The sequence below is a fragment of the Homo sapiens genome, chromosome 6 (genome assembly GCF_000001405.40).
Source record: "Homo sapiens chromosome 6, GRCh38.p14 Primary Assembly".
NCBI lineage: Eukaryota > Metazoa > Chordata > Mammalia > Primates > Hominidae > Homo > Homo sapiens.
In genome coordinates this window covers 24,700,506-24,720,850 of record NC_000006.12, presented here as the reverse complement: position 1 = coordinate 24,720,850, position 20,345 = coordinate 24,700,506, and the positions used below count along the sequence as shown (strand labels likewise).

Sequence of the window (20,345 nt, the reverse complement as noted above, 5' to 3'; positions counted from 1 at the left end):
TCGCTTCTTTTCTCAAACGCGACTCTGCCCCGGACCCGCGAGGCGCCCGAGGCCTTCGCCGCTTCTGCAGCCACCGGCGGGGGGGGGAACGAGGCAGTACTGCCGCGGACGCTCACCAACCGCTTCGGCTTTTCCCCCCTCCGGGTCTCCTCGACCTTTCCTGAGAGCCGGAATCCGACTGTAGGGGGAAGAAAGACTCAAGAGCAGATGCTTGAACTGAAATAACTTTATTTTGGGGGGTTACTTTGCTGACCCTTAGCGCAGGGCTTCCTTTCCCTTCCCCCTCCGCCGCCAGTACCAATCCAACTCCCCATCTTTCTCTTTGTTTTTCCTCTTTTTCTTTTTCTCTCCCTGTTGCCGCTGTCTCCGCGTCCTTCCCCTCCGTTGCCGCCCAGGGCGCCGAGCCAGACTATGGGTCCCAGGTGGGGGCTGAGCGGCGGCAGCAGCGCGGGCGGTCCAGTCACGGTGCGCACTGCAGCGGGGATGGAGGGGCTCAGTTGGCTGGTGGTTTTCTCTTGACATGGCTCCTGCCCGTGCTACCAGCAGCGCCCCCGCCGCCGCCGCCTCTTCCGCCGCCGCCACCGCTCCGCCCGCAGGCTGCGGCTAGAGGGCCCAAACCCCGCCCTAGAGTCGGTCCGTGAGTCCCGGGCTCCGCGGGGACAGGGAGGGGATTTCCCCGTCACCCACCCCGCCCTAGCTGCCTCAATTCCACCCCCTGCCCCTCGGGAAACAACTAACGACCCCACCCTAAACAATCCAAACTCTGGAAACATGGTCTGTTCAACGTGAGAGAGAGCTAATCCGGGAACTTAATTTTTTGGGGGGAGGGTGGGTGGGCTTACTTTAGAAGTAATATTAACACAATTATTTTCTTTTTTTCCCCCACTGAACCTTCCCATTTACCCTCTCCCGCCCACTCCACCCGGGCGGGAATTGTTTCCACGATGAAATGAGTGAAAACCTGAGTGATCCTGTGTCTCCCGTGGTGCGAGTGAGTCGCTGCCGCTGAAGGCAAGGGGTGGGGGTGGGACCTGCGGGGGTGGAAGGCAGGTGGTCTCCGGGCACCGCCTGGGATTTGGGAGAAGAACCCGCCACCTTTGCCTCGGCAATGCTCACAAGAAGATAAATCGCACTCCCCACCATTTTGAACGGGGGCAGATCCACAGGGAAGTCTCCCTTGGGGAATGTAGGACTAGTTGCAGGCTGGGGGTGTTGGGAACCCGGGCATTAATCAGGTCTAACCACAGAGCCGGAATAATTAATACCGTATTATATACCCCTTTTCCTTCTGCCGTCATGATTCTCCTTGGCAGCAGCGTTAGCAGCCGCCTGAGGGTGAAAATGTGGGTGATGGGGAAGTTGGTAATGACTCCGCTGTTTTTTCTCATGGCTCCTTTGGGCCACAGCTGCCCGCCCCCGGTATACACTGTAGTTGATTGCAGGGAAACCCTGTACCTCTCCCTTTCCTTCTCTACCGATTTTGCACTTTTCTCTATGCTCACCACCAAGTGTAATCAATAACAAGCACTGACAATACATAGCAATAGTGAAATCTGAAATAACTAAGAATTAGGTACTACAGCCATGGAGCTGGCTGGGTAAAATCTAATTGGATATTTCAGTTTCATTCACCTACCCTGTTTTGGTGTTTGGTTTTGGTTTTGGTTTTGGTGAGTTTTTTTTTTTTTTTTTTTTGGAAAGCAAGGATCACACTTCCCCCTCCCTGTTCCTTAATCCCTTTTCTAAAAAGGGGGGAAAATCCGGATGGATTTTAGGGATTGGTCTGGTGTCAGCTGTGTTTTATTGCACACCTAAATCCTGATTATAGGCTTTTCATTTCTCCGCAAAGCCTTTATTTTGGCAGTTAAGCCAAATGTGTTTTCCAGAAAGTTAGTTATTTTCTCCTCTTTCTTTCCTTTCTTTCCTCCCTTTTTCCCGTCTGACCCCAAACGTTATTGTCCAAACATGACTGGACAGCAGCTTTTGTTTCTTGACCCTGTAATATGACAGTCTGCTAATATTGACAGAAGGTGCAGTTTTTGGGTTATAGTCGTGATTTTCGCTAATCAATCATATTAGCAGGAAAAAAAATGACTTGTTTCTGTTGTACTTGAGTCTTAAGAAAAAGTGCCCATAGTTTAGTGACAATTTCCAAAGGCTTTAGTACCACCTGTATTTCAAAATGGGGGACCCAAACTCCCGGAAGAAACAAGCTCTGAACAGACTACGTGCTCAGCTTAGAAAGAAAAAAGAATCTCTAGCTGACCAGTTTGACTTCAAGATGTATATTGCCTTTGTATTCAAGGAGAAGGTAATTTAAAGTTCTTAATGGTGAATTAGCACAAGTAATTTTTGTAAGTGTATATTATTTGTTACTCTTAAATTATTATGAATATTAGGTTAAAGAGTGGTTGAAAAAAAGTCTGCTTTGTATGCTCTGTTTTTTCACCCTTAGGGGTGATTCTGTGAATTGAGCAGTTGCAGCATGCGAAAAGACCCTTGAGCGTTCTTTGGTTTGGAAATAAATTTGAGTCTGAAGCTTAGTAGTAGTATACACTGAGTTGACATGGGGTGGGCAAGATTACAAAATTTTATATGGAGTTAACATGGGAAACCTTATGATGGAATTTAAAGATTATCTAATGTAGAGTATAAATAAGATGGTTGAAAGTGTGAAATTGTAATCAGACTGTTTATATGCTAAAGTTTATCCTGTTTCTTAAACTGCGTAATGTAGGTAACCTTTTCTCTTACATTTAATGAAGTAGAATACACCTTTTAGGAGCAATTAAATACTGAAATGGTTAATTTGTGTTTAGAAGTGTGATTTTCTTTTTTACTTAGAGTTCATTTTGCCTTGTATAGAAGTACAGTTTTTAAAAACTCAAAATGACCTAGAGGAAGTTTCATTTTTAGGGGCGGTGGAGGTCTTAATCAGAATTAGTTCCGCAGTTAAATAGCAAACAGTAAGTTGTGAGTAGTCAAGGATGGGATGATAAGAGCAGTATTTTTTGCAACTTAAAATGAACATTTTCTTAAATTATCAGCAAGGCTTATTTGACCAAAGATGAGGTTATGAATGTAAGGAAGTGCTACTTGGATTTTGGTGCTTAAATTGTTAGCTAATTTCAGATCAGAAATACAATCTTAGTGTGGTATCTATTAAGTATCTGGAAGTTTTCCAGGTTTCCCCCTACTGTTTAACTCTTATTATTTTTGTTGCTGAGACAGGCCTCACTGTATTGCCCAGGCTAGTCTTGAACTCCTGGGCTAAAGTGATCCTCCTGTCATGGCATTTTAAAGTGCTGGGATTACAGGCAGGAGCTGCCACGCACAGCCCCAACTCTTAACTCCTAAAAGGTTATTTGTATTTAAGAACATTCTTAGCTGCTGAAGTATAGCATTGTGAAGTGATTTTTAAGTAATTTTTGAAGTGACTGTCCCAAGATTGGGTGGTATCAAGGACTTACATCTCCACTTTTGTTTTGTTGACAAGCTGACTCAAAATTGATGAGATTGGATTTTAGTTGAAGATGATACAGTGTATGCTCTTTAAATAAATCCAAGATAATAAGTAGTGAGACCATATCTTTGTATTTAATCTATATATTGCCCCAAATTGCACCATCTTAATTCTTTAACACCAACGATAATCTGGTTTTATTCTGTGAATGGACAGTGTCCATGCAGTTGCCCTGAATAATTCATGATATATACTTAATAGTACAGAATTTTAAAAAGTAGTTTAGTGATGCGTACTTGGTCTTGAGTAGTATTAAAAGAGAACTTGGTGTGCTTCTTTTTAGTCTTTCAAATATTGATGGTTTTGGCTGGGTGCAGTGGCTCACGGCTGTAATCCCAGCACTTTGGGAGGCTGAGGCAGGCGGATCACTTGAGGTCAGGAGTTCAAGGCCAGCCTGGCCAAATGGTGAAACCCTGTCTCTACTGAAAATACAAAAATTAGCCAGGTGTGGTGGCGCAGGCCTGTAATCCCAGCTACTCGAGAGGCTGAGGCAGGAGATCCCCTCGAACCCAGGAGGCAGAGGTTGCAAGTGAGCCAAGATGGTGCCACTGCCCTCTAGCCTGGGCAACACAGTGAGACTCCATCTCAAAAAAAAAAAAGAAAAACCAGAAATATTGATGGTTTTGATAATGTAATATTGAGAAAGTAATGGAAATTGGCCCATATAAGGAATAAAACTATTCATTTGTCTGAATAGCGTTGTTTTAAAACTGGTGAGATTTTTAATTTTAAGAAGTATTGTCCAAAATAGTGCTATGGATACCATTATGCTATAAAACTCAAGCATTAAACATTCTAATGACAGTTTGTACATGTATGGTTGGAGGGGGAGGTAGGGGAAGAACAGAAGGAATTACCTATCTGAAAATGTGTTTTCAGTGTATAAGTTACTGCAGACAGTTAAGAATTTTGTGGAGTTAATGTTACATGACATTGTAATATGAACTGAGTGTTAAAAGGCTGTGCTCCCTGTGGGTTAATACACCATTTTCTTTTCTTCTAGAAGAAAAAGTCAGCACTTTTTGAAGTGTCTGAGGTTATACCAGTCATGACAAATAATTATGAAGAAAATATCCTGAAAGGTGTGCGAGATTCCAGCTATTCCTTGGAAAGTTCCCTAGAGCTTTTACAGAAGGATGTGGTACAGCTCCATGCTCCTCGATATCAGTCTATGAGAAGGGTAAGTTCTGCCTTAAGTCTTGACTTGATAAAGTTTCTGTGGATTAACCTTGCATTTCCCCGCCCCCCGAACCCCCCTTAAAGTGGATAGTTATGATAGTGACCAGTCTCTTCAGGTAAATTTGTCTTTGTGCCATGTTGATAACTGGGATCATGACTTTAAAGCATTGTGTTTATAGGATTAGAAAAACACGTTTTTTTACGCCAGACCATTCTTATGTGGATGAAGTATATAAAGGGATTTCTTTAATCTGTGTTAGGTGTTGATGATCTCGGACTTTTTTTTTTTTTTTTTTTTTTGAGACAAAGTCTTGCTCTTTCGCTGAGGCTAGAGTGCAGTGGCATGATCTTGGCTCACTGCAACCTCTGCCCTCGCGCATTCAAATGATTCTCCTGCCTTAGCCTCCCGAGTAGCTGGGACTACAGTTGTGCGCCACCATGCCTGGCTAATTTTTTGTGTTTTTAGTAGAGATGGGGTTTTGCCATGTTGGCTAGGCTGGTCTGGAACTCCTGACCTCAAGTGATCCTCCTGCCTTGGCCTCCCAAAGTGCTGAGATTACAGGTGTGAGCCACTGCACCCTGCCAGTAGCCAACTGTTTTTAATAATTTAAGTGTTATGCAGAAAGTTTAAAAATTTTTGAAGTAGGTTTGTTTTTGAAAACTTGACCTTGAGTAAAACATGGACAACTTTGTTGTATTAGGCTCATAATATTGTGTATTATTATTGTGGATAAATGTCTTATGTCTCCGTTTATTGTATTTCCTTTTTTGGGGGGAATATGAATATAAGGAAGTGCTTCCAGCTTTGTAAACTTCTGCAACATGTTAAAAGTTAATCTGGGCATACCTGAACCAAGAGATCCCCACAGTTACTTGGGGAGAATGCTGGAGATAACCAGATACTGGTCTGGAAGAAATTATGGACCTTCAAAAATTAATATGCTGGCTACAATAATGAAGCAGAAGTCAGGAATGGAGAAAAGTAGTTTTCTATCAAAATAAAAATAGCATTTCAGCTATAATAGGATAGTGATTCATATTAGGAGTTCTAAGACATCTTTTTAAATAGATTGATTTTTAAAGGTGGAAATAAAGGTTCAGGGTCTGACAATACAACAGATATCAGAGATTTTGTTGGAGTTTTCACCATGCACTGATAAGTCTAGGTCTTGGTGTTAGGAGCATTGGACTGAGTGTATGTGACTCTCTGTAAGATAAAAATTAAAATTAGAGCCAGGCACAGTGACTTAGCCTGTAATCCCAGCACTTCGGGAGGCTGAGGTGGGTGGATCACCTGAGGTCAGGAGTTCGAGACCAGCCTGGCTGACGTGGTGAAACCCCGTCTCTATTAAAAATACAAAAAATATTAGCGGGGCATGGTGGCACACACTTGTAATCCCAGCCATTCGGGAGGCTAAGTCACGAGAATCGCTTGAACCTGGTAGGCGGAATTTGCAGTAAGCGGAGATTGCACCATTGCACTCCAGTGTGGGCCACAGAGAGGGACTCTGTCTCCAAAAATAAAAAATTACATCATGAGCTATTCAGATTATAAACTATTATGTTTACTTCCTAAGATATAAAATGATATATGGTAGATCTTTTGTACTTATAAAATGTTTTTATAGGGGAACCCTATAATTTGTGACATGGCTTGATGTAGCTGTTTCTTTAAAAGTAAACTTTTTTTTTTTTAATCATTTTATAGGATGTAATTGGCTGTACTCAGGAGATGGATTTCATTCTTTGGCCTCGGAATGATATTGAAAAAATCGTCTGTCTCCTGTTTTCTAGGTGGAAAGAATCTGATGAGCCTTTTAGGCCTGTTCAGGTATTTTGGTCTAAAGTGTGATGAGTATTTCAATATGTGAAAACTACTAGAATATAATAGGGTCTAACTTGAGAAATTCTTTGGGAAAATGGTTTCTGATAGTTTTATTTCACGAGTCTCCCCTATTTAGAATATTGTGATGCAAGAGAAGAAAGCGTTTGGATTATAGAATCTCTTGACAGTGTGGTGGTTCCACCTGCCCAGTGTGGCTTTGAAATTATGACTAGAGAAAATCTTTTAAAGTGGACATTTACTGATTTATAGAGGGGCCCACAGATGAGCTTCTGAGATCTGTAACTCTTGAAGCCTTCACCACACATCCTTCTAAAACCGTATATTTAACTGCTGCTTCCCAAAGGAATGTGATCTGAAATGGGTGAAGAAATCATTTTGTAGAAGTTGATCTGTATATAAAATTATAGAAGAAAGAAGTAAATTTAGTAGTCATTCTTAACCTTAAAATCTTGCTGACTTTTGACTGTTTGTCATGGTATACTAGACATTGCTCAAGTGAATCCCCCCTCTAGTGTTAAGGGCATTTACTCATGTTGAACCTAGTTTTATTTACAGTATATTTGTATGCATAGAAGATGGAGGTCCACCAAAGTGTTAATTATGCTTAGTTGTAGGTCAGGTATAGCTAACTTTCCTTTTTTAATATATATATTTACATTTGTGTTTCCTTTATAATTTATGGCATAGATTGCCACGATTTTCTTAAGTATACTTTTATAATCAGAAAAATGATATTAAGGACTCATTTTAAGTACACTAAATCAAATATTAGAAGGCTTCTTTATTTTAAGCTAATTGTGAGGATTATTTGTCATTTAAAACTTTTGCTTCTACTTATTACCCTGAAGTATCTTTGTGGTGCTTATGTTTTTCACAGACTGTATAAATTGATATACTCTCCCGCCCCATGGTAATGTTGCTACACATAAGCTCTAATAATTATCATTTTTAATGTTTTAAGATTAATTCAACTAAGTTTTAAAAATAATCCATTGGTTACATACATAAGAAAGTACTGTATACAGATTCCCCTGACTTATAATGGTTCGACTTAAGATTTTTTCAACTTTACCATGATGTGAAAGCCATATGAATTCATTGTGCTCCTCGATTTATGATGGGACTACATCCAGGTGAAGTCATTGTAAATTGGAATTGTTGTAAGTTCAAAAGTCACTTTTTGATTTAAAATACGTGTAACTTACACTGGGTTTATCAGGATGTAACATCACAAGTCGTGGAGCATCTGTATTTCGGTCATTTAATGGATGATATCTGACTGAAGGGAGAAAATGAATATAAAAGGCATGAAAACAGGAATAGAAAAGGCATGTTTAAAGTTCTCAGCGCAGGGCTGATAACTCTAGCTGCTCTCTGGAGGTGGTGTTAGGATTTTGTTGTTTTTTAGTTAAGGATTTCCCACTGGAAAAATGTAGGTCTGCTTATTACAGTATGTTTTCAAATTTCTAATACCCTGCCTTTCCCACTGGGACCTTATTTGAAATAGTTGAGTTAACTTTAGTCTTGTGTCAAATAGTACTCTTTGAAGTCATGGCTGATGTTTATTGAGAGTTGACTGTACTAGTTTCAGCTTTTTTTTTTTTTTTTTTTTGAGACAGAGTCTCACTCTGTTGCCAGATTGGAGTGCAGTAGTGTGATCTTGGCTCACTGCAACCTCCTCCTCCTTGCAACCTCTGCCTCCGCCTCCCTGGTTCAAATGATTCTCCTGCCTTAGCCTCCCGAGTAGCTGGGTCTACAGGGACATGCCACCACGCCCAGCTAATTTTTGTATTTTTAGTAGAGACGGGTTTTCACCATGTTGGCCGGGATGGTCTCGATCTCTTGACCTCGTGATTCACCCGCCTCGGCCTCCCAAAGTGCTGGGATTACAGGTATGAGCCACCATGCCCGTCCTTTTTTTGAGACAGGGTCTTGCTCTGTCGCCCAAGCTGGAGTGTGGTGGCGTGATCTTGGCTCACTGCAACCTCTGCCTCCCAGGTTTGAGCCGTTCTTGTGCCTCAGCCTCTTGAGTAGCTGGGATTATAGGCGCATGCTATGACACCCAGCTAATTTTTGTATTTTTTTTGTAGAGACGGAGTTTTGCTATGTTGGCCAGGGTGGTGTCCTTGACCTCAAGTGATCTGCCTGGCTTGGCCTCCCAAAGTGGTGGGATTACGGGTATGAGCCACCACACTTGGCCTTAGACTTTCTCTTACTTTATATATATTTAATCTCAGTCCTTAAAATAACTGGGTAGATAGGAAGAAACTGAGACAGAAATTAGGTAAATAAGGCCCAAGGCAGTTAAATAGGATAAAAGCCTGGACTGACTGTGCTTTTAACTCACTACCCTGTACTGTGAAAATTTACCTATATTAATTATAGAATCTTAAAATTCTGGACTGAGTGTAAGCAGTATGATGTAGGTAATGACTTTAGAATTCAACTGCAGTAAGTAGGTTAATATTGTAAGAACTAATTTGCTTTTCTGAAGTAATTTAAAATGTGTGAATATCCTATATGAGGGGCCTTAAATATAACTCACTCAGTTCTTTCTCAAAGAAAATGAGAAAAGGAATGGTAAATGTTAACTTGCAGGCCTCTTTTTTTTGTTTTTTGTTTTTTGACTCTTAAAGCACTTTACTTATTTTTAAAATTTAATTAATTTTTTGTAGAGATGGGGTCTCACTTTGTTGCCCAGGCTGGTCTTGAACTCCTAGGTTCAAGTGATCCTCTTGCCTCAGCCTCCCAAAGTGCTGAGATTACAGGTGTGAGTCACCGTGCCTGGCCTTTTGAAGCACTGTAAAACCTGAATATATGGGTAGTGAGGATATAATCGGAACCAGAATAAGGATTGTTTTTAAATACTGAGTTCTTCAGTGTACTGTGAAGTGCTGGGAGGTACTACTAAAATGTATCTCTTCTTTTCTCTTCATTATTAATGCTACTGCCAAGGTTAGCTCCTCCCCTGACTGTTAGAATATTTCGTTACTTCTGTGGGAATTACTTCTTTCATGCTGCTTATGAGAAGTTGTGTGTGTGTGTTTGTGTGTGTGTGTGTGTACCATTTCTTTTCAGATAAGTGGATATTCAATATGATAGAATTGAAATGCTAAAGAACTATAAGGAAGGCCTTTTTCAGTCTCACTCAAACCTTTTTTCAGTGTGGTTACCGGTTCTTGCACCCACCCTGGTTGCTTACCATATTGCAGCTTTGTTACTTGAATAGTATTTCAGTTTTTAACACATTTGTTTTTGTGTTGGTTCTGTTTCCTAGTATGGCTGTTTTTTTTGTTTTGTTTTGAGATGGTGAGATGGGGTATTACTCTGTCATCCAGGCTGGAGTGCAGTGGCATAGTCATGGCTCACTGCAGCCTTGAACTCCCAGGCCCAAGTGATCCTCCCACCTCAACCTCATGAGTAGCTGGGACCACAGGTGTGCACCCCATGCCCAACTAATTATTTTTGTAGAGATAGGATCTCACTGTGTTGCCCGGGCTGGTCTCAAACTCCTGGCCTCTAGTGATCCTCCCGCTTTGGACTCCCAAAGTGCTGGGATTATAGGTCTGAGCCACCATGCCCAGTCAGCGTTTATCAGATTACTTACCATTACTACTTTGTCCTGGGGAAATCCTCTTAATCTTTAAAGGCGCAATCCAAAATCATAATGTTCCCGTGTTACTTACTGTTACTTTTTTTTTTTTCTCCTATAGTGGTTTGATGATAAGAACCCAATTTGGGCCGGGCGCGGTTGCTCACGCCTGTAATCCCAACACTTTGGGAGGCTAAGCCAGATGGATCACCTGAGGTCGGGAGTTTGAGACCATCCTGACCAACATAAAGAAGTCCTATCTCTACTAAAAACACAAAATTAGCTGGGCGTGGTGGTGCATGCCTGTATTCCAGCTACTTGGGAGGCTGAGGCAGAAGAATCGCTTGAACCCAGGAGGCGGAGGTTGCAGTGAGCCGAGATCGCGCCATTGCACTCCAGCCTGGGCAACAAGAGCGAAATTCCGTCTCAAAAAAAAAAAAAAAATTGGAGTTTTACAGATAACCACATCTTATTCTGGGAAAGGATTTGAAGCAAGTTGGGTTTTATATTTGGCTGTACTTGTCCTCTTCAGCAGTATAATAAGCCCCTTAAGGCTGAAGTAACCTTATTCCTATTGTTTAGTAGCTAATAGCATGCTTTTGATATGCTTATGATCATACTAATAATTTAATATTTGAATTGTATGGAAGTACAATTCAGTATCATTTTACATATGGTATATTGTGATGCTGTATCATATTTTATGTTACGGTTTATAAGAAAAGCTCCTAGGTATAAAATGCTACATAGCAGGAACTTGGTTTTTCAATGTTATTATTTCCTACTGTTTTTGACGTAACGGCAATAAAATTTGTTTGAACCAAAATGGACTAACAATTATTTGTACAACTCAGTATTGTCTAAATATCATATTGTTAAATCTAGGTTTCTTGAATTCTCCATCAAGCCTGGTCATGTCATGTAGCATTTGGTGTCTCACCATGCCCAACAGATATTTTGTGGGAGGATGGAGTTGATCTTCCTCATGTTAAAAGATTGAAGGGAGTGTTCTGACTTAATTGATAACAGTCTTTCATAACTTCACAAATTTTTGAGAATGACCCAAGGCTAACTGTGGGAAAAATTCACATAAAAACATAGCCTATCTATGAGGAGCAAAACTATATTTCAGTTGTGGGCTTTACATTTCATTTAACCCTCTTAACTGTCCTGTGAAATGGGTTACAGCCTTATTTTATAGATGAGGAAGCTGAAGTTTAAGGGATTTGCATACGGTCACGTAACTAGTGAGTTGTGCAGCTAGGGTTAGAATAAACAGATTTATTTTTTTTTTTTCTTAGAAACAGCAATTAACAATGTGACTCCTAATCAAAAGAAAAGAGATGTCCTTGGGGCTTAAAGTACTATGGTGGGAGTCTTGGACTGAGTAGGTTTGAAAATACAATTTTATGATCGTGGAGTACTAGGATTTAGTCATTTTGATGCAGAGCATTTCCTGATCAACTGCTGTTGTGGAGTGTACTGTCCAATAGAATTCTCTACAATTAAGGAAATGTTCTGTATCTCAAGAGATTGTTCTTAATGGTGGCCAGTAGTCATGTGACCGTTGAGCATTTGAAATGTGGCTAGTGCTACTGAAGAATGGAATTGTAAATTGCTTTTAATCTAAATTTTGCCTGTGATATTATTGGCTGTGGGTTTGCCAAAATTTGTTTTTTTAAAGAGGAAAAGATAACGGACTGTTGGCTGCTTTATTGGACAGCACAGCTAGCATATAGATGCAGATAGGTAGTATAACTTGTTTGTAGTTTAATATAAATGTTGTATTTTGTAATTAGGCCAAATTTGAGTTTCATCATGGTGACTATGAAAAACAGTTTCTGCATGTACTGAGCCGCAAGGACAAGACTGGAATCGTTGTCAACAATCCTAACCAGTCAGTGTTTCTCTTCATTGACAGACAGCACTTGCAGGTAAGCAGCTTTTTTGAAAACCACTTACAGGCTCATTCAAAAACTTATTGGTTAGTAAACGTTTTATATACAAGTTACTTAATTGTTGTGTCCCCCAAACACTGCATTATTTTTGAAGTTATTTAAAAAGCAAAAAATAGGCTGGGCATGGTGGCTCATGCCTGTAATCCCAGCACTTTGGAAAGCCGAGGCGGGCATATTGCTTGAGCTCAGGAATTCCAGACCAGCCTGGGCAACATGACGAAACCCCATCTCTACAGAAAATATAAAAACTAGCCAGGCATGGTGGCGTGTGCCTGTAGTCCCAGCTACTGGGGAGGCTGAAGGGGGAGGATTGCTTGAGCTTAGGAGGCTACAGTGAGATCTTGTCACTGCACTCCAGCTTGAATGACAGAACGAGACCCTGTCTCAAAAAATAAAATGAATTTTTAAAAAAGTATTTCCCAGGCCTCACTGTAGAACAATGGTTCCCAAATTTTGCTGCATGTTACAGCAACCTGGCAAGCCTTTTTTTTTTTTTTAAACGGGAAAAAACCCACCTCCTTCGAAGCTTTTAAAAGTCATGATTCTAGTGAACAGTAGTGAGAACTATTGCCCTAAAGCGTGTCTACCAGATGTGTGGGCAATGGATGAACATCACTTGAGAACTTGTTAAAAATATAGACTCTCAGGCTCTACTAATCAGAGTCTGCACTTTAAACAGAACCCTCAGGTGATTTGAAACACACTTTGTTTCCAGAAGCACTGACCTGGACGTTTTTTTTTTTCTTGAGAGGGAGTCTCTGTCGCCCAGGCTGGAGTGCCGTGGCGCAATCTCAGTTCGCTGCAAGCTCCACCTTCCGGGTTCACGCCATTCTCCTGCCTCAGCCTCCCGAGTAGCTGGGACTACAGGTGCCCGCCACCACGCCCAGCTAATTTTTTTTTTTTTTTGTATTTTAGTAGAGACAGGGTTTCACCATGTTAGCCAGGATGGTCTCAATCTCCTGACCTCATGATCTGCCTGCCTTGGCCTACCAAAGTGCTGGGATTACAGGCGTGAGCCACCGCAACCGGCTGACTTTTTAAATCTAAAAGGATGAGGGACATATATTTAAAAGATCCACATTTATTTCAAATAAGCACTTCCATTTGGGCACAGTGTCTCACACTTGTAATCCTAGCATTTTGGGAAGCCGATGGGGGAGGATTGCTTGAGTCCAAGACCAGCCTGGGCAACAGAGTGAGACGACATCTCTACAAAAAATCAAAGAAATTAGCCGGACATTGTGGCGTGTTCCTGTGGTCCTAGCTACTCTGGAGGCTGAGGCAGGGGAGAATCACTTGAGCCCAGGAGTTTAGAGTTGCAGTGAGCCATGGCACCAACACACTCCTGCCTGAGTAATGCAGCGAGACCCCATCTCAAAAAAAAAAAAAACACCGCCAACAACAAATAACCACTTCCCAGTTAAGCAGCAATCCAAGTATTGCAATTTAGTTTTTAGATGCAGCCACTTGCTGGCTGTATGATCTTGGACAGGTAACTGCTGTGAGCATGTTGCTTCTGTGAAATTGAACAAATGATAATCCTAAGGTTGTTAAATTTAACGTAAGGTTGTTACATTTAAAATTAACTAATACAAGTAAAGTATATTACATATGTATAGGTTTATTTACATTTGTAGGCTACTTCAGACATCTTCAAAGTCAGAGTCCTTATTTTGCCTTTTAGAGGTGCTAGATAGTGAAGAAAAGATGAACTTTGTAATTAAGTTGGATGTTCAAATGGTAACTACTTTTTAAAAATAAGGGTTTTGATTTAACTGGTAATACTTTGGCTTTTTTCTAGTCCCTTACCCCAGGATATGCTTAAATCTTTTATTTATTTTTTGAGACAAGGTCTCAACTCTGTCACCACGCTGGAGTACACTGGCATATGGATCATGGCTCACCGCAGCCTTGACCTCCTGGGCGCAGGTTATCCACCTCAGCTTCCCGAGTGGCTGGACTACAGGCGTGTGCCACCACATCCAGCTAATTTTTATATTTTTTGTAGAGATGGGTTTTCGTCATGTTGCCCAGAATGGTCTTGAACTCTTGGGCTCAAGCAATCCTCCTGACTCAGCCTCCCAAAGTGCTGGGATTACAGGTCTGAGCCACCACACCCAGCCTTAAATTTTTACCTATTCCTTCATCCTCTCACTAGCTTCTATTCTTACCACATCTGCTTTATCTTCCTCTATATAAAAATGACTTCAAACTTCTCAAAATCTGTCCCCATGAAATGCCTTTAGCTTTAATTTCTTCTAGCAAGTAGTCTCTGGTTTACTTCCCTAACTTTTTATCTTCTAATTCTGCATAAATTTTTCCTTTATCTTATATGGCAAGATTTTGTCTGTCTAGAATATGGATAGGGACTACAATTTGTCCCTTACTCTGTATGTTAAGATGTTTAATAAATTGTGGGAAATGGACTTCATGTGACAGTTACGCTAAAGTCTTATTTTTAAAAAATATTAAAATGTTTTCCCCTTCCAGACTCCAAAAAACAAAGCTACAATCTTCAAGTTATGCAGCATCTGCCTCTACCTGCCACAGGAACAGCTCACCCACTGGGCAGTTGGCACCATAGAGGATCACCTCCGTCCTTATATGCCAGAGTAGAGTACTGACCAGCAAAATGGAGAAGATCAGAGAATGCAGCAGCAGTTTTTTTTCTTGTTTTCTTACCACTTTATTCTTTCAGAGTTTAAAGAAAATGGACTCATGCACAGAACACTATGCATTTTGAAACTTGTTCATCCTGGATTTTTTTAAATCATTTTTATCTCAGAACTTAAACAAAAATTAGATGTCGTGCACGGACTGTGTGAAAGAAGATGCTTTGCATATTTGCTGCACTGCATCAGTATCTTACTAAAAATGTGAAATGAAAGGACTATTGTACACTGAAATGCTTAAATGTATCTGAAAGCACAAGGTGATACTCATTTTTATGGTCTTCCCATTTGTGCTGGTTTTTGCCTCTTTGACATCTGTCATCAGTATTTAGAGGGTGAGAAGTGAATGTAACAGGTATAAATAACATTTTTAAAAACAATAACTTTGCTATAATCACAGTTGTTCCAGAGCACTGTCAGATACATTCTAATGACCAGAACTGGTTTAAAAAAAGAAAATACAACCATGGGAAAGAAATCTTAAATGAAAAACGCATCTCATTGTAGGCATTTTTGCCTCATATTTTACTGGGCCATGTTTGTTTCCTGGTACTCATGTATTTTTTTTTTCCAGATCTCTTTCCCCAAGTTGCTATTGTAAGAGTATTCTGCTGCGTGTGGATGCAGTTATACACATTAAAGCAGATCTGGAGTCTGAAGTAGCTATAAAGCAGCTATAAAACAGAAATACATGCATAGCTGCAGAAACCATGATAGGTAGAGGACTTTTCTTTTGGTTTTGTTTTGTTTTGTTTTGTTTTGTTTTTGGTTTTACAGAGAAGAGATTTTTATTACAAAGAAAAAAATTCCAGTGAATTGTGCAGAAATGCTGGTTTTTACACCATCCTAAAGAAAAACTTTACAAGGGTGTTTTGGAGTAGAAAAAAGGTTATAAAGTTGGAATCTTAAATTGTAAAATTAACCATTGAGTGTCAAAGTTCTAAAAGCAGAACTCATTTTGTGCAATGAACATAAGGAAAGACTACTGTATAGGTTTTTTTTTTTTTCTCCTTTTAAATGAAGAAAAGCTTTGCTTAAGGGTTGCATACTTTTATTGGAGTAAATCTGAATGATCCTACTCCTTTGGAGTAAAACTAGTGCTTACCAGTTTCCAATTGTATTTAGCTTCTGGTTGGAATTTGAAAAAAAAAGAAAAAAAGAAAAAGAAAACCTAAATAAAATAGGTGAAAGTTCCCTGACTATTCAGGTGAATACACAAAGTTTGAAGTGTTAACTTTTTCTTTCCATTTCACTGATGTTACTGGTCACCTTAGAGAATTATTTCATAGTCTGTGGCTAAATAGTAAATTCAGAAGAAAAATACCTGGCAATTGAGTGTGTAACTTCAACAAGAACAGGAATCAAGAACATACTGTCAGCTTTCAACAGTTAGCAACCTGGCCTTATGCCTTGCTTCATGGGAAAGGGCCATTCTTAAATTTCAAAATGCTTTCATGTGTCCTCTTATTTAAAAATTAGAATCTATTTGAAATAACATTTTGAATGTTTATTATAACCAGGTACTCTTCTAAGCTCTTGTCTTAACCTCTCAACCTTTGGTGGAAATAGATGCAGAGGTTAAGTAACTTGCTCAAGCTCAGATCATAAGTAGTGGAGGATTTAAAACCAGGCTGGCTGGCTCTTAAGGCCTATGCTCTTAATTTACCATGTTGAATTAATTTACCATATTGAATTACACTTATGTTCACCAAGTTAGGCATTTTGGCAGCCATTGTTTACGTTTTTATTTTGGAATAATTTAGAAAAGTTACCAGAGTAATATGAAAGCTGTTGTGTAATCTTTACCCTCATTTTTATTATTTTGCCACATTTTTTTCATTTTCTCTGTACACTTATACCTGTGAGCTATTTGAGTTTGTTGCACACTTTGTGCTTCCTTACCCCTTCCTTAGTACTTCGGCATATGTTCCAAGTACAAGAATATTTCATATAACTAGAGTAAAATTACCAAACTCAGGGAATGTTGATACTCTTTATCATCCATATTCGTTTTGTTGTCCCAGTATCCTTGGTAGCTTGTTTTAGATCCCCCCCTCTAGAGTACAGGATCATTGAATTTAGTTGTTCTCAGTTGTCTTTAATGTGGAACAGTTCCTTAGCCTTTATGTGTTCCATGACCTCTATGTTTTTTGGAGTACAGGGCAATTTTTCTTGTAAATTGTTACTCATTTTGCATTTGAATTGTTTATTCATGCTTAACGCCCTTCTCAAGTATACTCTCCATCTGCTCTTCATTGATGTTACTTTTGAGCGCCTGGTCAAGGTGTCCTGGTTTTGCCCTATGTGTGGTACTTACTACTAGCAATCTCTGGGAAGCAATGTGCAAATACCCTGTTCCTTTATCAGGAGCTCCCTTGGCGATTCTTTCCAGACTAAAACCCAAACCAGTCTTTAACTATGATGGTTACAAAATAGTGATTTTCCAAATCTAATGCTTTGTCCATTTACAGCATTTGTTGTAAGAGAGTGTTCTATCTCTGCCATTTATTATCTACCTAAACACTATGGCCTCATATTTTTTCCCTCCAAATCATAATTTGCATGCCTTTATTATTTTGAGCATCTCCTTTCATGCATAAGATACTGTAACCTTTCTGTCCCAGCCTCAAGCCCTGGAGTCAGCTGTTTCTCCAAGGAGCCCAGCTTCCTTTTAGTGGGAAATACTAGAAGTAAACATCTGGGACTCCTGTATGCTCACTGCTGCTATTGCTACTGTGGAGTCTTCTGCCCTTTCACAGTGGACAGATCAGCAGGCGATCTAATGTAGGGAAAGGATTTGTCTTTAACTGTTAACTTGACTTAAATTTACTTAAAGCTGCATCCTTTTTAGTCTTTAGTCATGAAATGTTCATTAAGATTCCCTGACAGAAATCAAGTAAGAGTCAGCTGGGTGCAGTGGTTCACACCTGTAAGTCCAGTACTTGGGGGGCCAAGGCAGGAGGATTGCTTGAGCCTAGGAGTTTGAGACGAGGCTGGGCAACAGTGAGACCTTGTTTCTACAAAAATAAAATTAGGCGTGGTGGCACACGCCTGTAGTTCCAGCTACTCAGGAGACTGAGGTGGAAGAATGTCTTGAGCCTGGGATTTTGAGGCTATGGGAAGCTGTGATTGTATCACTCCAGCCTGAGTGACAGAAGCTGTCTCAGAGTGCCACAGTCAACTGAACTTGGAGACTTCTGAGAAGTGAACTTGGTCTTTTCAATACTATAGACTTGGAGGTTTGAGATCTGCATGGTTTTATTCTCGGTACAAGAAAAGGGGCTAGTAGCATGCTTTTTTTCTTCCCCCTCTATTGGACCATTTCCTGTAACACTAACATGCTTAGCCTCAAACTTTTCTTGAGGTCTTTTTTAGGCATATGGCTCAATCTATTTTATTTTTCAATATGGGCTGTAGTTCATATATTTTGAAGTTTCATAATCTTAAAAAAAGGAAATGCAAGTGTAGCTTGGCATTTTAGATCTGGGAAGGACCTAAGATTCGCTAAGGATTGGCCATTGCTGTGGTCTCCATGTGTTTCCCCTAAATTTGTATGTTAAAATCCCAACCCCCAAGGTGATATTAGCAGGTGGGGGTCTTTGGGAAGTTATTAGATCACGAGGGCAGAACCCTCAAGATTGGAGTAAGTGCCCTTACAAAAGAGAACCCAGGCTGGGCACATTGGCTCACACCTGTAATCCCAGCACTTTGGGGGGCCAAGGCAGGCGGATCACCTGAGGTCACGAGTTCGAGACCAGCCTGGCCAACATGGTGAACCCTGTTTCTACAAAAAACTACAAAAATTAGCTAGGTGTGATGGCACATGCCTATAGTCCCAGCTACTTGGGAGGCTGAGGCAGGAGAATCACTTGAACCCAGGGGGCAGAGATTGCAGTGAGCCGAGATCGTGCTGCTGTACTCCAGCCTGGGCAACAGAGCGAGACTCCATTTCAAAAACGAGAACCCAGAGGGCTCACTTGCCCCTTCCACCACACAGTGAGAAGGCACCATCTATGAGCCAGGAAGCGGGCCCTCACCTAACAGGATCTGCTGGGCCTTGACCCAGGACTTTCCAGCTTCTAGAACCATGAAAAATTTCTGTTGTTCCTAGCAGCCCAAACAGAATTAGAACCATTAATTTCTATTTCTCCTTTAGCTTAACACTGGACTTTAGTTTTAATCTTAACTGAGAGTGGTCCTGCTAGTTTCTTTGCTTTACCTGTTTTTAAAACACTTTGAGCTAAGAATTTTTCACCCAATTATCACACATGATTAGAAAACAAGATGCTTAAAGTGAAAAAAGACACCCCCACCTTTACCCTACTTGATATCCAGGTCCTTTTCCTCCAAGAATATTTCTAGCTGCTTCTGGTTTTGCTAGTTTATTTCAAAAATTACAATTGTTTGAGTCAAATCTATACTTGATATTCATTGTTGGGTTTCTTTAGGTCATTCTGCTGTTCTCTCAGTTTCCCAGGTGTTTTGTGTGTCTTCCTTGTGCTATTAATTTTCCTGTGGCCTTGTTGGTCAGATCCACAGAGGTAAATGCAAGTGTTTTTCCTTGCTTCAGAACATGTGCTGTAATCACTATATCTTCTCCTAATTTTGCAGGTGACATGTACCTTGAAAGAAAATGAATATAGTTAACAGCAGATAATTTTTCAAAGGGAAAGTTGTGTGCATCTCACAACAGTGTTCCTATGTAACTTATTTTACTCCTAAAAATAGTTTTAACGGTAGTATTGGTAAGCTTTCTGTACTATCAAATGTGAATGGCTGGTCCTAACCAGGTTCTATTTTACCCATTCCTTACCCACACAAGTTTCTTTTCCCAAATATGTGAGAAGAGGTTTTCTTGCCTCCCCTTTTTTCCCTTTACATTTCCCACTTCACATTTATTTGGGGCTGGTGAAAGATTTCCTCCAGCTTTCATTTAATCTCCTTAACTTCTTAGATGAAATATCACTTGGTGTCTGTATATTGTCCTATCCATATTTACAATTTATTTGACTCTAAAATGACAATATAACAACTATAAGGAATTGATATGATGTCCTTACAATCTTGATGATGGACTGTCTATATTTTTAAGAGATGTACATCCTAGTCACTTGTAATCATAAGTTGTCTTTAACTCAGCTGGCTCCAGCTAATTAAAAAAAAAATTGGGGAGATGAGGATTGTTTAAAACAAATGTTAATGTTTTAAAGGGAAATAATTTCCTTACAGTTTATTTTTATGTTTCTGCTTTTTAGAAAGAAACCTTTAAAAAGGATATGTATTTTTGCCATATTCAAAATAAGACTTCAGTATTTATGGCTAGGAGGTATAAGAAAGGTGGATCTGGCCGGGCACGATGGCTCAAGCCTGTAATCCCAGCACTTTGGGAGGCCGAGGTGGGCAGATCACCTGAGGGCAGGAGTTCGAGACCAGCCCGGCCAACGTGGTGAAACCCCGTCTCAACTAAAAATACAGAAGTTAGCTAGGCATGGTGGTGGGCACCTGTAATCTCAGCTACTTTTGAGGCTGAGGCAGAAGAATGGCAGGAACCCAGGAGGCAGAGGTTGCAGTGAGC

General features: G+C 40.3%; 2 protein-coding genes across 6 annotated transcripts in view, besides 2 other annotated features; one reads left to right on the top strand and one right to left on the bottom strand.

Annotated features, from left to right (window-relative positions):
- C6orf62 (chromosome 6 open reading frame 62) lies at positions 15-15,990 on the top strand. 4 transcript variants are annotated; one of them, NM_001410835.1, is made up of 5 exons: positions 15-991; positions 4,527-4,703; positions 6,411-6,533; positions 11,940-12,074; positions 14,589-15,990. In NM_001410835.1, exons 1-5 carry the CDS (start codon positions 950-952, stop codon positions 14,712-14,714), a joined length of 603 nt encoding a protein of 200 aa, NP_001397764.1. In that variant the 5' UTR covers positions 15-949; the 3' UTR covers positions 14,715-15,990. The 4 variants fall into 4 exon arrangements, with proteins under 4 accessions (NP_001397764.1, XP_047275340.1, NP_112201.1 ...); NM_030939.5 differs by lacking the exon at positions 15-991 and adding an exon at positions 1,697-2,311; XM_047419384.1 differs by lacking the exons at positions 11,940-12,074; positions 14,589-15,990 and adding an exon at positions 10,262-10,966.
- Positions 223-1,016: an enhancer, noted in NCBI's record as "NANOG-H3K27ac-H3K4me1 hESC enhancer chr6:24720063-24720856 (GRCh37/hg19 assembly coordinates)". NCBI's record gives its function as "activates a minimal SCP1, AML or CMV promoter by ChIP-STARR-seq in primed H9 embryonic stem cells {active_cell/tissue: H9 hESC(primed)}" and the evidence as "EXISTENCE:reporter gene assay evidence [ECO:0000049][PMID:30033119]".
- Positions 484-653: a silencer, noted in NCBI's record as "silent region_16994". NCBI's record gives its function as "represses an Ori minimal core promoter by ATAC-STARR-seq in GM12878 lymphoblastoid cells {active_cell/tissue: GM12878}" and the evidence as "EXISTENCE:reporter gene assay evidence [ECO:0000049][PMID:35858748]".
- The window catches only part of ACOT13 (acyl-CoA thioesterase 13), a 37,970-nt gene continuing 33,429 nt past the window's right edge, over positions 15,805-20,345 (bottom strand). For both annotated transcript variants that reach the window (NM_001160094.2, NM_018473.4), the window contains one exon: positions 15,805-19,392. In NM_001160094.2, coding sequence (NP_001153566.1) covers positions 19,236-19,392 — 157 coding nt within the window. In that variant the 3' untranslated portion in view covers positions 15,805-19,235. The remainder of the gene's footprint in view (positions 19,393-20,345) is intronic.